Source organism: Homo sapiens, chromosome 3 (assembly GCF_000001405.40).
Source record: "Homo sapiens chromosome 3, GRCh38.p14 Primary Assembly".
Lineage (NCBI taxonomy): Eukaryota > Metazoa > Chordata > Mammalia > Primates > Hominidae > Homo > Homo sapiens.
Window position 1 is genome coordinate 50,096,230 of NC_000003.12, and position 16,737 is coordinate 50,112,966.

At 43.7% G+C, this 16,737-nt stretch overlaps 1 protein-coding gene and 1 long non-coding RNA gene across 10 annotated transcripts in view, besides 1 other annotated feature; one reads left to right on the top strand and one right to left on the bottom strand.

Annotated features, from left to right (window-relative positions):
• Nucleotides 1-16,737, top strand: part of RBM5 (RNA binding motif protein 5) — a 30,103-nt gene that overhangs the window by 7,311 nt on the left and 6,055 nt on the right. For 2 of the 9 annotated variants that reach the window (NM_005778.4, XM_011533262.3), the window contains exons 5-17: nucleotides 3,753-3,822; nucleotides 4,303-4,376; nucleotides 6,854-6,937; nucleotides 8,019-8,079; nucleotides 8,848-8,913; nucleotides 9,320-9,480; nucleotides 10,538-10,635; nucleotides 11,253-11,340; nucleotides 11,841-11,918; nucleotides 12,003-12,075; nucleotides 13,374-13,459; nucleotides 14,150-14,234; nucleotides 14,450-14,541. In NM_005778.4, coding sequence (NP_005769.1) covers nucleotides 3,753-3,822; nucleotides 4,303-4,376; nucleotides 6,854-6,937; nucleotides 8,019-8,079; nucleotides 8,848-8,913; nucleotides 9,320-9,480; nucleotides 10,538-10,635; nucleotides 11,253-11,340; nucleotides 11,841-11,918; nucleotides 12,003-12,075; nucleotides 13,374-13,459; nucleotides 14,150-14,234; nucleotides 14,450-14,541 — 1,116 coding nt within the window. Of the gene's footprint in view, nucleotides 1-3,752; nucleotides 3,823-4,302; nucleotides 4,377-6,853; nucleotides 6,938-8,018; nucleotides 8,080-8,847; nucleotides 8,914-9,319; nucleotides 9,481-10,537; nucleotides 10,636-11,252; nucleotides 11,341-11,840; nucleotides 11,919-12,002; nucleotides 12,076-13,373; nucleotides 13,460-14,149; nucleotides 14,235-14,449; nucleotides 14,542-16,737 lie in introns of those variants that run through there. The other 7 variants (XM_006712917.3, XM_047447138.1, NR_036627.3 and 4 more) reach the window with 6 other exon arrangements.
• RBM5-AS1 (RBM5 antisense RNA 1) lies at nucleotides 3,374-4,759 on the bottom strand. The gene has a single exon (NR_045388.1). It is a non-coding gene; the product is annotated as an RBM5 antisense RNA 1 (long non-coding RNA).
• Nucleotides 4,214-4,414: a silencer, noted in NCBI's record as "peak4650 fragment used in MPRA reporter construct". NCBI's record gives its function as "represses an SCP1 promoter by STARR-seq MPRAs in K562 erythroleukemia cells {active_cell/tissue: K562}" and the evidence as "EXISTENCE:reporter gene assay evidence [ECO:0000049][PMID:32103011]".

Here is a 16,737-nt window from a genome sequence, read left to right on the forward strand (position 1 = left end):
TGTAATCCCAGCACTTCGGGAGGCCAAGGTGAAAAGAGTGCTTGAGCCCAGGAGTTCAAGTCCAACCTGGACAACATGGTAAGACGCATCTCTCCAAAAAAAAAAAAAAATAGCCAGTCTTAATGGCGCTTGTCTGTGGTCCCAGTTACTTGGGAGACTGAGGCAGGAAGATCACTTGAGCCTAGGAGGTCAAGGGTACAGTGAGTTGTGTTCACGCCACTGCACTCCAGCCTGAGCGACAGAGCAAGACCCTGTCTCAAAAAGAGGGTCATGTCGGAAAAGGTCCTATTGAAAGAGGTCTGCCTAAGAGCTCTTGAAGGTTATTTAAAGGAAATTGTTACTAGTGGAGGGTAAGGAATCTTCTATTTTTATTTTTGTGAGACAGGGCCTTACTCTGTCGCATAGGCTGGAGTGCAATCGCGTGATTGTGGCTCACAGCAGCCTCCAACTTTTGGGGCTCAGGCAATCCACCAGCCTCAGCCTCCCAAGTAGCTGGGATTACAGGCATGTGTCACCACTCCGAGCTAATTTTTTTTTTTATCGTTTGTTTTTTTTTTTGTAGAGACAAGGTCTCTCTTTATTGCCTAGACTGGTCTTGAACTCTTGTCTTCAATCAATCCTCCCGCCTGGGTCTCCCAAAGTGCTAGGATTATAGGCGTGGAAAACTAAGGGAATGGTGTGGTAGATGGGCCCTTCAGGCGGAGGGGTATCACATGAGCAGGGAATAGAAAGGTACTGAATCTAGATAAGGCCTAGCAATCGGCTTGATTTGGCTGGAGTCAGAGGCTTTTGGCAGGAGAGGGATGAGTGGCAAAGTGCTATTGTGGCTAGGGGCTAGAGTTCTCAAAAGTCTAGCTAAGCCTAAAAGAATATTACTGAGGGTTGGCCAGGTGCGGTGGCTCACGCCTGTAATCCCAGCACTTTAGGATTCTGAGGCAGGCGGATCACAAGGTCAGGAGATCGAGACCATCCTGGCTAGCACGGTGAAACCCTGTCTCTACTAAAACTACAAAAAAATTAGCCAGCCGTGGTGGCGGGCGCCTGTAGTCCCAGTTACTCAGGAGGCTGAGGCAGGAGAATGGCATGAATCTGAGAGGCGGAGCTTGCAGTGAGCCGAGATCGTGCCATTGCACTCCAGCCTGGGCGACAGAGCAAGACTGTCTCAAAAAAAAAAAAAAAGAAACTGCTACAAGTATTGATTTGAGTGTTAGAAATTTTAATGAGTGGTTGAATTCACAGGTGTGATACCTGAGGATAATGAGGATTGGCTGTGTGTAGTCTTGCAGCCGTTGCACCTAGTTATGGAAAGTAGAGGCCAGTGAGAATCTTGTTTCCACAAATTTCACCCTGTTTTTTTTTTCATGGTAGTATTCATGCCTGATATTATTGATGAAGAGACTAGTATATTTTTGTGGCCTTTTGGAAAAAGGAGTTGGTCTGACATTGGAACAAGCCTACCAGCCAGAATACTTTATTCTAGCCCCAATTAATGTTTGATTTATTAGGAGCCTAAGAATGTGATGAACTTTGAAAATTTTTACCAATAATTTAACTGTAAGAAAAGTATGATCCATTAAAAATGTTTACCTGGCCTGGTGCGGTGGCTCACGCCTGTAATCCCAGCACTTTGGGAGGCCAAGGTGGGTGGATTACCTGAGCCCAAGAGATGGAGACCAGCCTGGGCAACATGGTGAAACCCCTCTCTACTAAAATATAAAATATTAGCTGGGTGTGGCGACATGCGCCTGTAGTCCCAGCTACTCTTGAGGCTGAGGCAGAATTGCTTGAACCCAGGAGGCGGAGGTTGCAGTGAGCCGAGATCATGCCATTGCTCTCCAGCCTGGGCAACAGAGTGAGACTCCATCTCAAAAAAATTTAAAAAAAAGTTTATCATCAGGCTCTTCATTTTTTGGCTGTTGATTTTTTTCCTTATTTTGAGAGTAGGCCTCAAAGAGCAGGAAGGCTATTCTTGATTAGGCGTACTTCAGGGCACAGTGACGCATCCACTGCCTCTTTTAAATCTCATCTGAGTCCTTATTTTTATTTTTTTATTTTTTTAAAGATAGGGTTGCACTTTGTCACCCAGGCTGGAGTGCAGTGGTGCAATAGCCCATTGTAACCTCGAACTCCTGGGCTTAAACAGTCCTCCCACCTCAGCCTCCCAGGTAACTAGGACTACAGGTGTATACCATCATGCTTGGGTAATTTTTATTTTATTTTATTATTTTTTTTTGAGACGGAGTCTCACTCTTGCCCAGGCTGGAGTGCAGTGGCGCGATCTCGGCTCACTGCAACCTCCGCCTCCCGGGGTCAAGCGATTCTCTTGCCTCAGCCTCCCAAGTAGCTAGGACTACAGGCACGTGCCACCACGTCTGGCTGATTTTTTGTATTTTTAGTAGAGACGGGATTTCACTGTGTTAGCCAGGATGGTCTCCATCTCTTGACCTCGTGATCCACCTGCCTTGGCCCCCCAAAGTGCTGGAATTACAGGCGTGAGCCACTATGCGAGGCCTAATTTTTAAAATTTTTGTATACAGATGGGGTCTTACTGTGTTCCCCAGGCTGGTCTCACACTCCTGTGCTCAAGCGCTCATCTTGCCTCATCTTCCCAAAGCGCTAGGATTATAGGCTTGAGCCACTGTACTATCCTGCAGAACAAAGGACAGGGAGATTAGACTAAAGGATGGAGGCTTGAGACATCATACCACAAGCAAGGATGTGTATCATAACAGAAATTAATTGCGGCCAGGCATTGTGGCTCACTCCTGTAATCCTAGCACTTTGGGAGGCCAAGGTGGCCGGATCGCTTGAGCCCAGGAGTTCCAGACCAGCCTGGGCAACGTGGCAAAACTCTGTCTCTACAAAAAATACAAAAATTAACCAGGTGTGGTGGTGTGCATTTGTAGTCCCAGCTACTTAGGAGGCTGAGGTGGGAGGATCACTTGAGTCCAGGAAGGCAGAGGTTGCAGTGAGCTGAGATCACACCAGTGCACTTCAGCCTGGGTGTCAGAGCTAGGCCCTGTCTCAAAAAAAAAAAAGGAAAAATTAATTACACCTGAGGGAAATTCCCATGCAACATTTAATGAATGCCTTCAGTGCTGTTATAATGCATTAATTTCTATGAGAAATGTTCTCTCTTTTTTGTGCCTTTTAGGAAAATTGCATTTTGGTGATAGAAGATAAAAACTTGGCTAATTAGGCCAGGCATGGTGGGTCATGCATGTAATGATATGGGAGGCTGGCATATCACTTGAGGCCAGGAGTTCGAGACTAGCCTGTCCAACACAGTGAAACCCCGTCTCTACTAAAAATACAAAAATTAGCTGGATGTGGTGGTGGATGCCTGTAATCCCAGCTACCTGGGAGGCTGAGGCAGAAGAATCGCTTGAATCCAGGAGGTGGAGGTTGAAGTGAGCCGAGATCACGTCACTGTACTCCAGCCTGGGTGACAGAGCGAGACTCCGTCTCAAAAAAAAAAAAAAATCAGTCACGCATGGTGGTGCACACCTATAATCCCAGCTACTCGGGAGGCTGAGGCAGGAGAATTGCTTGAACCCAGGAGGTGGTGGTTGCAGTGAGCTGAGATCATGCCACTGCACTCCAGCCTGGGCAATCAAGTGAGTGAGAGACAGAGACTCCCATCTTAAAAAAAAAAAAAACTTGGCTAATTAAACAGTTGATGTAATTCCTATTCCATGGGGAATAGTGTGTGGCAAAAGCTTTAACTGTAAATAATGTAAAACCCTGTGCAGATTCGAGAAATGATGGAGTCCTTCGAAGGCCCTCAGCCTGCGGATGTGAGGCTGATGAAGAGGAAAACAGGTGAGAGCTTGCTTAGTTCCTGATATTATTGTTCTCTTCCCCATTCCCACCTCAGTCCCTAAAGAACATCCTGATTCCCCCAGTCTTCAAGCACATGAATTCAGAATGAAAGGTTTGCCATGGCTAAGGAATGTGACTCTTTGAAAACCATGTTAGCATCTGAGGAACTTTTTTAAACTTTGTTTTAGGGACTTTTTTTTCCTTAGGTAAGTAATGATTTATAAACTCCTTTTTTTTTTTGACTATAGTCGGTTGCATGGTTACTTTAAGCGTGGAATCAAATGGAGTGGCATTTAGTTCAGGCGGCTTGTTCCTTGCCATGGCAAAGTATCAAGAAGATCCCCAAGTCAAGTCACATTTGTAAAGCTGCTTCCCAATTGGCTTTGTCACGCAGTGTTGAAGCAGTGGGAGAGAGATTCACCTGTTATAAAGGAACTGACTAACACAAGTATCCCGTCTATATCTGAATGCTGTCTCTAGGTGTAAGCCGTGGTTTCGCCTTCGTGGAGTTTTATCACTTGCAAGATGCTACCAGCTGGATGGAAGCCAATCAGGTTGCTTCACTCACCAAGTCTAGATATTCATGAAAATGGAACAAGTCTGTACAATTTTAAAAAAAGGTTGAAGGAGTGGTTTGTTCCAAAGGAGTGACTTTTTTTTAAAAAAAAAGCTTTGTATATATTAAAATTGATGTTACTAGAATAAGTACAGTACCAAGGACTTCATTATAGAATTTGTTCTGCCTTTAAACATGGCTACCTACCTGGCAGGGCTTTGTTAACTACTGAATACCTGTCTGGTAATCACTAAAACATCTTAATGTTTCCCTTTTTTCTAGTTTGTTATATTCCTATTATGTCCATTGAGAGTAAGCTTAGTATATCAAACTCTCCATTTGACAGTGAAGAGAACATAGTGAAAGTCTGTGGCGGCATTTTTATAAGTAATTCCTTATTTCTGCCTGAAGACCACAAAGCCTCCTGGAGGCGTAACTGCTCAGACCGGTCTTCAGGGAATATTTAAGGACTTAGTGGAATTTATGAACAATAAGTCTGATGAGATTAGCCTGGGAGTGGTGTCCTGCAGCTGTCTAATCTAGTTAGAGTGGCATTAACATTCTAATCTCCTTGAGAATGCCTTTTATAGTCTGTTCAAAGCAAGTCATTGATGGTTCTTCGAGGTAGTGTTAACTGAAGTGTTCTTCAGTTTGTCAAGATAATGTTCAGTGCTTGGCACTTAAATAACATTTTTTGCAAGAACTCCAAGGCACATTATTGAATGCCTTTAACCAAGTGCATTCTGGGAAGTTTGCTTGACTCATTATCTTGCTTTTCTGCAGCATTCTGTGATTTGAGTCATCCATGAATCCATGAATAAAAGTTACATTCTTTGATTGGTAATATTGCCATTTATAACAAGACTCACTAATGAGGGTATCACTTTGACTGACTGATTTGTTAAAGTTTTTAAGCCTCTCATTTTCCTAACCCAGAAATCACAGCCTGATTTTATTAAAAGTAGAGCTTCATTCATTTCATACCATAGATACCATCCTAGTAAATCCAGAACATATACAAGGTTCATGTGAGTCTGCTTTCTTGACATGATAGCATTGTTTGATGCAGTGGATATGTCAGAATGACTAACCTAGGAGTTTAAAACTCCTAAGAAACTAAAACCTGTAAGACATTTAAAAGTCTCCACAATTTTAATGTATACAAAGCTATGTTACTGTGTAACACATTACAGTTCAAATTCACTCCAGAAATAAAAGGCCAGTAGGATTAGGGACTCACTGGTAGTTTGGAGTCTCCCAGCACACATCCCTCCTAGTGGGATGATCTATTCACATATCTCCCAGCTTTTTTATTTTTGCTTCTGTATATCACAGTGAGTGGATGGCCCTTCAGCTTTTTCTCTCCTGGCCAGACATGCAGTCTTGCCTTTAGATATCGCAGAGACAAAATTCACAGCATGTCTTAAATCTTCCAGGATTTGCAAGAACCAAATTGCTCAACAGTATGTATGTTTAGAGGGGTTAGACTCCTTTTTAAAATCTGGATATCTAACCACCTACTTAAATCTGTTTGATAGTGTCAAACCACCCCCACCCTTGATCCTCCCACCCCCAAGAAAAAGAAAAGATGCTCCTGTTAAATGAAGGCTCTTTAGGGGTAGGTGCTAGGTATACTCTTGGCTAGATTGATTCAGCTCAGAATTTTGACTTTTTAAAGCTAAGTCCTTGTAGTCACATGGTTGACTTGAAGGATGAGGTGGTGTGTGCATTTATGAGCTTTTCCTACCCCCCTGAAGAAACTTCATTGGCCTCCTGGTTACTCACCTTGAAGAGAGTACCATCCATTTTAGTGAAAAACACATCTGTCACCTAGGACATGACATGGTTGCAGTTGACAGGAAAAAAAAAATCTCATTTAGTTGTTTTAGAGTTGGTGGCATTCAGAATAGTCCCTCTTGAGAAAGAATTGTAACCAGATTCCCTTTAAAAATGAGTTCCCCTCCCTTTCCCCCCAAAGGACTCATCCTGAAGCAGAAGGTGTGGGGGGAAGGAGAAATGTAAAGGCTTTTACTTTGCATAAGGATGGGGGACTGGGGAAAAAGGTGAAGCGAAGCCCAAGGACACCATGCTAAGGGCAAAAGTAAGAGACAGTCTCAGAACTGAGAGAATTGTGTCTTCTGCTTTTTGAAGTAGACTGTCACACTCAGGCAGCCTGTCAATGCTGAATGTTAGGACTTCTGTCTCCGCTGGAGACACGGCCTGGTGCAAGTCAGCGTTTAGTGTTTGACAGCTTTCTCAGCACTCCCTGACTCCGTTTACCTTTACTCCGCATCCCATTCTCTTACTGCCTATCTGAAGGATTGGATGGGCAGAGTATAGGTGGCGGTGGTTGGTCCTCCCCGTATGTTGTCCATTTAATTCCAGAGCACTGATTTTTCCGAAGTGTGCTCTGCCCTGGGAAAATGGACACATGTTCCTCACAATGGGAATAACTAATTACTTCTTTTCTTACAGAAAAAGTTGGTGATTCAAGGAAAGCACATTGCAATGCATTATAGCAATCCCAGACCTAAGTTTGAAGATTGGCTTTGTAACAAGGTAAGCATATGTTCTTCCCAAATAGACAAAACTCCTTTAGGATATTGCTGTTTTTTTCTGTTTGTTTATTTGACTGTCCAAACAAGGAAATTGTTACTCAATCATCAGTAATATTCATGGTTTGTTACTTTCCTTGGGTCCTCCTACACTGGTATTAGATGATAGAACTAGAGGTTTCGTTTATTAAGATGCACGTTCTGCTGGGCATGGTGGCTCACGCCTGTAATCCCAGCACTTTGGGAGGCCAAGGCGGGTAGATAGCTTGAGGCCAGGGGTTAGAGACCAGCCTGGCCAACATGGCAAAACCCCGTCTCTACTAAAAATACAAAAATTAGCTGGGCATCACGGTGCGCGCCTGTAATCCCAGCTACTCGGAGGTTGAGGCAGGAAAATCTCTTGAACACGGGAGGCAGAGGTTGCAATGAGCCAAGATCGCGCCACTGCACTCTAGCCTGGGTGACAGAGTGAGACTCTGTCTCAAAAAACAAAAAAGGACAACAAAAAGGATGCAGGTTCTAAGCCCAGTGATTAAGATTTTAGGTGTGTTTCATGTTACTGTTTATTGAATTCTAGAGCTCTCAGTTTTTGGCGTAGTCTCTTAACTGTATTAACCAAAATAGTTGAGAACCCTGCTAAAGTTATATAAGGTTTACCATTTTGAACTTGAATGTTGACATTGATATTTTGAGAGTGCTCAAACTGTGTCCCCTGTCCAGTAGGGGACTAGACAGTGGTTAGTTTACCTTGTGTTTGTGTATGTAGGATGGGATGTATAGTGCTCTGTTGATACAAGGAAGAGCTTCACCAGTGGCTTGCTGTAGAGTTTTCAAATTAACTGAACCCTTTCCTCGGCTTGATAATAATGGGATTCTTCTTCAACATACAACAAACTTTGTTTTTCTTGGGAGATTTTAACAGTGTTACATTCTGAATTTTTTAGGTTATGTCCCCATGTCTCAGCTACGTGAGACTTTCTGCTTTTCTGTTAGTTACTGGGACCTACCCGTGGCCCCACTGTTATTGTTACTAGAAAGCCTGGCCTAATGTGAGAAATAATTACAGATAAAACTTTTTTTTTCAGTGCTGCCTTAACAATTTCAGGAAAAGACTAAAATGCTTCCGATGTGGAGCAGACAAGTTTGGTAAGACTGGATTCAGCTGTTTGCAATATGCATTAAAACCTACTAACTGGGGCAGGGAGCAGTGGCTCACTGTAATCCCACCACTTTGCAAGGCCAAGGTGGGAAGATCACTTGAGGACAGGAGTTCAATACCAGCCTGGCAAGAGATAGCAAGACCCTGCCTGTACAAAAAAAGAAATTTTAAATTATCTGGGTGTGGTGGCACACACCTGTAGTCCTAGCTACTCAGGAGGTTTAGGTGAGAGGATTGCTTGAGTCCAGGAGTTGAAGGCTGCAGTGAGCTATGGTCATACCACTGCACTCCAGCCTGGGCAACAAACAAGACCCTGCCTCTCAAAAAAAACAAAACAAAAATCTGACAAATAGGGTTGTTAACTGTGAGCCTGAGGAAAAGTATAGATTTTAGTGTACTTAAACAACTTGTCTGTTTTCTTTAAATCTTTTCCCTTAGGTTAGATAATGCTGCTCATGATTGTGAGAGCACAGAAAGTTCTTTTGTTTTCTAGAATTAAGTCTGCTCACCTGGTTTGCATTCTGCATCTGCCTTTCTTTAGTGCAGGGTAGTGTCAGTCCCACTGTGGCCCAAAGTTTGCATTCTGCGTTAACCAAGTCACAATTAATGAGGTTTTACTATAGGCACAAATGCTTAAAAAAGAAAAAAACGATTGTTTTGTGTGGTTAAAATAAAAACTTGTGGGGATTTTAATGTATTTCTTTGGTGAAAATACATTAGTTGTTTGTCTCTAATTGGATCACTTTCCCTTCTAGACTCTGAACAGGAAGTGCCTCCTGGAACCACAGAGTCGGTTCAGTCTGTGGATTACTACTGTGATAGTAAGTTCATACACGATCTTTTGGTCTTCATGTTAAAAATTGACCTCAGTTGTCAGGAGATGGAGACCATCCTGGCTAACACGGTGAAACCCTGTCTCTACTAAAAATACAAAAAATTAGCTGGGTGTGGTGGCACACACCTGTAATCCCAGCTACTCCGTCTCAAAAAAAAAAAAAAATTGACCTCAGTTGGAAATTTCTGTTCTCCTACCCTTTTGTAAGGAGCAGCAGCAGCTTCGGGTTGTCCCTTAAAAGACAGGATTTTTAGAATCTTCTCCATGTCAGGGTAGAAAATACACTAGGAATGTCACAAATGGATTTGTATGTACTTGACCCTATCTTGGAAAACTTTGGTACATTGGTGGTGGGAATGCATGTGTATGTCATTTGTCTCATTTACCCCTAGCGATCATTCTTCGGAACATAGCTCCGCACACTGTGGTGGATTCCATCATGACAGCACTGTCTCCTTACGCGTCTTTAGCTGTCAATAACATCCGCCTCATAAAAGACAAACAGACCCAGCAGAACAGAGGCTTCGCATTTGTGCAGCTGTCCTCTGCAATGGTGAGGTTCTCATCGATTCTTTCCTTTTTAAAAGAAACAGCTTTAAGAGGCAAATGTGGTTCATCCAGTTTTGAAACTGTCTGAGGCTCCTAAAGCCCAAGATGCAAGGCTCCCTAATGACAGTTTTTGCACTGCTAAATTACAGGACTGATGACTTCAGTAAGTAGTAAAAATAATGTGTATACCTATAGGCAACTGGCAGAATTTTTTGAGCCACAGTTTAGTCCTTGGTACTTTGTTTTTTGTTGTTGTTGTTCTTTTTTGGGATGGAGTCTCACTGTCGCCCAGGCTGGAGTGCGGTGGCACCATCTCGGATCACTGCAACCTCTGCCTCCAGGGTTCAAGCGATTCTCCTGCCTCAGCCTCCTGAGTAGCTGGGATTACAGGTGCCCGCCACCACGCCCAGCTATTTTTTTTTTTTTTTTTTTTTTTTTTTTTTTTTTGAGAGGGAGTCTCGTTCTGTCGCCCAGGCTGGATGGAGTGCAGTGGTGTGATCTCGGCTCACTGCAAGCTCCATCTCCCCAGGGTTCACGCCATTCTCCCGCCTCAGCCTCCTGAGTATCTGGGATTACAGGCGCTCACCACCATGCTCAGCTAATTTTTTGTATTTTTAGTAGAGATGGGGTTTCACTGTGTTAGCCAGGATGGTCTTGATCACCACCTCTGCCTCCCAAAGTGCTGGGATTACAGGCGTGAGCCACCGCGCCCAGCCACGCCCAGCTAATTTTTGTATTTTTAGTAGAGACAGGTTTTTGCCATGTTGGCCAGGCTGGTCTCGAACTCTTGACTTCAAGTGATCCGCTCATCTCAGCCTCCCAAGTGCTAGATGTACTTTGTTTTAGATTGGTTTAGCATTTGCTCTTTTGGTAATACTGGAAACCTTCACATCTTAGAGGAAAGAGAGATATTCCTTTCTTGAGGTTTCATATCTGCAAACACAATAAGGAATTAATTGCCTTTTATTTTTTAATAGAAAACTACTTCTTTGAATGGGGTGGATGGTAGGGAGAGATTTTTAATTGCATTACACGTTTTTTTCCTTCACATTCTCCTTCAGGATGCTTCTCAGCTGCTTCAGATATTACAGAGTCTCCATCCTCCTTTGAAAATTGATGGCAAAACTATTGGGGTTGATTTTGCAAAAAGTGCCAGAAAGTGAGTGGCTTCATTGTCCTTATTTCAAACTACTGCATATGCACATTTGTACAGTGTGCTAACTGAACGCCAAGCCTGTGCCCCAAGTATGTTGAGACACTGTGATCCTCCCTGATTGCCAAGGCCAGGAGGGACACGTTTGTCTTCTTTTAGTGATTATTCCCTACTGTCCTGTGTAACCAGTTGATGAAGTTGCCTGAAATGGTTTCAGATCAGGAGAAAGGCAAGTATGGCAGATGGGTTGAGAACACATGCTTTGCAAACTGCAGCAGTATAGTGCTAACCCATCCAGAAATAACCCATTCCTTCCAGAACAGCGTGCTAATAATTTCATGTATATAGTGCTTAACTCTAACACGGTAAATTTCCCTTTTTTTAGTATCATTGCACATTCAAAAAACTCTTCGTTAGATGGCAGGTTACAAGGTAGAACAATGATACTACAGGGCCACTTGCTTACTGAGGAATTTCCCCATGAAGAGCCCTCCCCCTGTGAAATGTGGCCTTGCTGGCATTTGAGAACTGACAAAGGGTGGAGTGAATCAGTTGGTGGTATAGGGGCACTAATTGTGGGAATACTGTGATAGAATCACATGATTGGATCTTTGTGGTTTCAGAGACTTGGTCCTCTCAGATGGTAACCGCGTCAGCGCTTTCTCTGTAGCTAGTACGGCTATTGCTGCTGCTCAGTGGTCATCCACCCAGGTAAGATCGAGGATCTTTTTGCTCAAGGTAGTGTGGTGGTGGTGCCCAGATTCACAGACGTGACCTCTCCTGTGGTACTCGCAGTATGAGCTCTTTTCTTTTCTTTTTTTTTTTTTTTTTTTTTTTTTTTTTTTGAGACAGAGTATCACTCTCGTCACCCGGGCTGGAGTGCAATGGTGCAATCTTGGCTCACTGCAAGCTCCACCTTCCAGGTTCAAGTGGTTCTTCTGTCTCAGCCTCTTGAGTAGCTGGGATTACAGGTACCTGCCACCACGCCTGGCTAATTTTTGTATTTTAGTAGAGATGGGATTTCACCACGTTGGCCAGGCTGGTCTTGAACTCCTGACCTCAGGTGATCCACCCACGTCAGCCTCCCAAAGTGCTGGGATTACAGCCGTGAGCCACAGCGCCCAGCATCATGAGCTCATTTTTAGGGACTTCTGAATTTTTTTCCTTAATGCCTACTAAGTTTGTCTTTGTCTCATTTTGATGTTTTGTAGTCTCAAAGTGGTGAAGGAGGCAGTGTTGACTACAGTTATCTGCAACCAGGTCAAGATGGCTATGCCCAATATGCTCAGGTAGGTAGATTTTAGCAGCATCCACCTTATAGTCTTGCAGAGTGTGTCTGAGAATAGCAGCTTTAATGGTGGACTTTTCTTCAGTATTCACAGGATTATCAGCAGTTTTATCAACAACAAGCTGGAGGATTGGAATCTGATGCATCATCTGCATCAGGTAGTAAACTTCATCTCCCTTTTACCTTTTGTTTAAGCACTTACAGTTGAAGAAATATGATTAAATGTCCTAACTGGACCAAAAGCTACAAGTCCATTTCTCTGTAAGATTGTAGGGGGCATGGCCGGGCACGGTGGCTCACGCCTGTAATCCCAGCACTTTGGGAGGCCAAGGCAGGTGGATCACGAGGTCAGGAGTTCAAGACCAGCCTGGCCAACATGGTGAAACCCCATCTCAGCTAAAACTACAGAAATTAGCCAGGTGCGGTGGCAGGCGCCTGTAATCCCAGCTACTCAGGAGGCTGAGGCAGGAGAATTGCTTGAACCCGAGCGGCAGAGATTGCAGTGAGCTGAGATTGCGCCACTGCACTCCAGCCTGGGCGACAGAGTGAGATTCTGTCTCAGAAAGAAAAAAAAAAGAATGTAGGGGGCATATTCAGGGCTGTCATCATGTACCCAAGGTTCTGGGGAAGAATACGGTTATTTGTGTACACCAGGAGTTAATACAAGGTCTTAGAGACCATGTTGTGATGAGTTTAATTCTTGGAATTCAACTCTGTATTTCCCCTCTCTGTGTTTGGAGTCGTGAGTGCCCACGTAAGTTCAGGTGAGCAGAGAGGATGTGGCCCTGGAGACTGGTGCTCAGACATCAATCAGAAGAGCTACTCTAAGAAGCCTTGGCTTTAATTTTTGTTTCAGGCTTTAAAAAGCCTTGTGAGTTAAATCTTTCTCAACCCCAGAGCAAATATAGATCCTTTCTTCTCTTCCTTTTCTCTTCTTTTTTTTTTGAGACGGAGTCTCGCTCTGTTGCCCAGGCTGGAGTGCGGTGGCGTTATCTCGGTTCACTGTGAGCTCTGCCTCCCAGGTTCACGCCATTCTCCTGCCTTAGCCTCACAAGTAGCTGGAACTACAGGTGCCTGCCACCACTCCCGGCTAATTTTTTGTATTTTTAGTAGAGACGGGGTTTCACCGTGTTAGCCAGGATGGTCTCAATCTCCTGACCTCGTGATCGGCTCGCCTTTTCCTTCCAAAGTGCTGGGATTACAGGCCTGAGCCACTGCACCCGGCCTCTTCTCTTTTTCTTAGCCATGATACAGAATCCTTAACTTTGTATATCACATCTAGTAGAATTATAAGAAAATGAAAATGTCACAGATTCCAGGGTACTTAGTGGAAGTTAGCTTATGAAGAACTGACATATACAATGACAGAAGAAGGCTAGATTGGGCATTACAAATAAAGATGTTTGGGTTGGCGTTCAGTGCCTTGGCTTTCCCTAACACTTGTGTTTATCATCAGGCACAGCAGTGACCACCACCTCAGCGGCTGTAGTGTCCCAGAGTCCTCAGCTGTATAATCAAACCTCCAATCCACCTGGCTCTCCGGTAATCCTGTTGTCCTATATACAAAACTCGTGGCTGATGGGGAAATTTTGTTTTGCTATACAAGTATTACCCTTTCCTGTTGTATGAGCCAGGATTGAGTAATACACACTTCAACCTTATTTCTTTCTGTTGTTTTAAAATATTAATTTTATGATATATATGTGCATGTATATTTTAAATATAAAATTTCAACTGTGTATTTACACTTTATGCATGCTTGACCTTTAGAAAGTTGTCGCCGGGGCCGGGTGTGGTGGCTCGCGCCTGTAATCCCAGCACTTTGGGAGGCCGAGGCGGGTGGATCACGAGGTTAGGAGATCAAGACCATCCTGGCTAACACGGTGAAACCCCGTCTCTACTAAAAATACAAAAATTAGCCGGGCGTGGTGGCACATGCCTGTAATCCCAGCTACTCGGGAGGCTGAGGCAGGAGAATTGCTTGAACCCCGGAGACGGAGGTTGCAGTGAGCCAAGATTGCGCCACTGCAGTCCAGTTTGGGCAACAGAGCAAGACTCCTCTTGAAAAAGAAAGCAAAAAAGTTGTCAACATGTGTTTTGCTGAGGGATTGCCTTAGATTATTGCTACAGTGTGTCTGTCAGGGGAGCCCTTCCTCCTGGATGATTGCAGTGATTTAGCTCTCTTAAAAGGCTTTACAGTTGAAATTATATTGAAGCTGCTGTTCTTTCCAGACTGAGGAAGCACAGCCTAGCACTAGCACAAGTACACAGGCCCCAGCCGCTTCCCCTACTGGTGTAGTTCCTGGTACCAAATATGGTAAGCCAAACCTCATGGGGCTGTTGACAGTTGGAAGGTCTTAGTTGTTGTCTTTGTTTAATGAGAGTTCTTCTCCCTTTGCGGGTGTCAGAGGGACACTTGGGGATGTGAGACAGAGAAGAAACATTAGGCCTGCTGCATCTCACTGGCTTAGAATTTGAAATAAAGCCAATTTCTTACCTGGAATGACTGTATGCTGGATTTTGTTTTTGCAGCAGTACCTGACACGTCCACTTACCAGTATGATGAATCTTCAGGATATTACTATGATCCGACAACAGGGCTCTATTATGACCCCAACTCGCAAGTAAATGTGCTGCTTTCCTCCTCAATTTCACTAGAAGTAGTTTCGCTTAGTGCATTTATGAGGCATAAAATGAAATATTTCCTGCAAAAGAATATATGACTCAGATTAGTTTTAACTTCTTCAAAGCCACCAAAATGTAATTTTTATATGGAGATTGTAAGTTTTAATTGTAGGGTTAAAAAATGTTTTGAGGTATAATATACACACAAAAAAATACACAAAACAGAAATGTGCAATTCTTTGAATGTTTATACATGTCTATACATTTGTATATTACATGTGTATATACACCACCACTTATTCCCAGCCCACCTAATCCTCATGCCCATTGCTGGTCAGTAACCTATGTCTTCAATAACCACTATTTTGATTTCTGTTGCCATAGATTATTTTGTCAAGTTACAATTTATGGAAAGACCTAGCTAGAAATTTTAAATTGTACTTTTCTCCCTATTGTTTAACCTTTTAGAGTGTACAAATCAGTGGCTTTTAATATATTCACAGTGTTGTGTAACTGTCACCACTGTCTAATCTCAGAACATTTTCATCACTCGAAGAAGAAACCCTGTACCTGTTAAACAGTCACTCCCCATTCTGTACTCTCCTCCAGTAACTACTAATCTACTCTCTGTCTCTATGGATTTGCTTTTTTTATTTTTTTTGTGGCACGATCTTGGCTCACTGCAGCCTCCACCTCCTGGGTTCAAGCAATGCTCCTGCCTCAGCCTGCTGAGTAGCTGGTAGCTGGGATTACAGGCGCCCACCACACCCAGCTAATTTTTGTAGTCGAGACAGGGTTTCACCTTGTTTGCCAGGCTGGTCTCGAACTCCTGACCTTAAGTGATCCACCCGCCTCAGCCTCCAAAGTGCCAGGATTACAGGCATGAGCCACTGTGCCCAGCCCTCTGTTCTTGACATTTCATATAAGTGGAGTCAGACAATAGATTACCTTTTGTGTCCAGCATCCTTTACTTTGCCTCCCTGTGTATTCTTGAGGGTAGAATTTAGCAGATGTATGGAGTGATGTTTTATTTTTGGTGGCATATATAACTTTTAAAAGGGAAAAACAACTTTAACACCCCATAAATAACTCTATTTATGACCGGGAGCTGTATATATAGAACAGTAATAAGTATTTTTAACAGGAACTTGGCATTGATAGGTTGTGGTTTCTGAGAGATTGAAGTGTGAAGCTGTGTGTGACGTGCCTAAGCAGGCCAAGCCTCTGCATACCTCTTCCATCCACTTCTCTCATTTGTGAAGCCTGGCCATTTATTTCCCTGTCAGTTCTTTTTTTTTTTTTTTTTTTTTCCCGTCAGTTCTCTTTGGTGGCCTTAGAAGTTGTGTCTGTAGGCTGGGCGCAGTGGCTCACGCCTGTAATCCCAGCACTTTGGGAGGCCAAGATGGGAGGATCACTAGGTCAGGAGATTGAGACCATCCTGGCTAACACAGTGAAACCCCGTCTCTACTAAAAAAAAAAAAAAAATACAAAAAAATTAGCCAAGCGTGGTGTCGAATGCCTGTAGTCCCAGCTACTCGGGAGGCTGAGGCAGGAGAATGGCGTGAACCCGGGAGGTGGAGCTGGCAGTAAGCGAATGTCGCGCCACTGCACTCCAGCCTGGGTGACGGAGCGAGACTCTGTCTAAAAAAAAAAAAAAAAAAAAAAAAAAAAAAGTTGTGTCTGTTAGCCACGCCACCTTACCCAGAAGAGACAGACACTGTCTCCTGGGTCCCTGTTGAGCAGATAGAGTGAGCGACTGGAAAATAGAGGAGAGGATATGTGACACCTCTCCTCTGTTGCAATTCCTGCTGAGCTTGGGTCCCTTCACCAACACCTCCTTCCAGCTCTGTGCTAGTGTTTACACCCTGTGTGTGGTTGCCTGGTATCCAATGGATTCTATGTGGATGGGCCCAATGATGAGCTGTTGTCATGGCAGATGTCTGAACTCCATGACACGCCCACCTGTTCTGGCTGCCTGGTTTATGTAAATAGTCTGTGGAACAGAGTGAGACAAATTGCTCTTTGGGTGCCCTCTAGGTAGGCCCAGGGATTAAATTAATGGGAACTAGACTTTTTAAATTTTTATTATCATTTTTTTTGAGATGGAGTCTTACTCTGTTGCCCAGACTGGAGTGCAGTGGCATGATCTTGGCTCACTGCCACCTCCTCCATCTCCCAGGTTCAAGCAGTTCTCT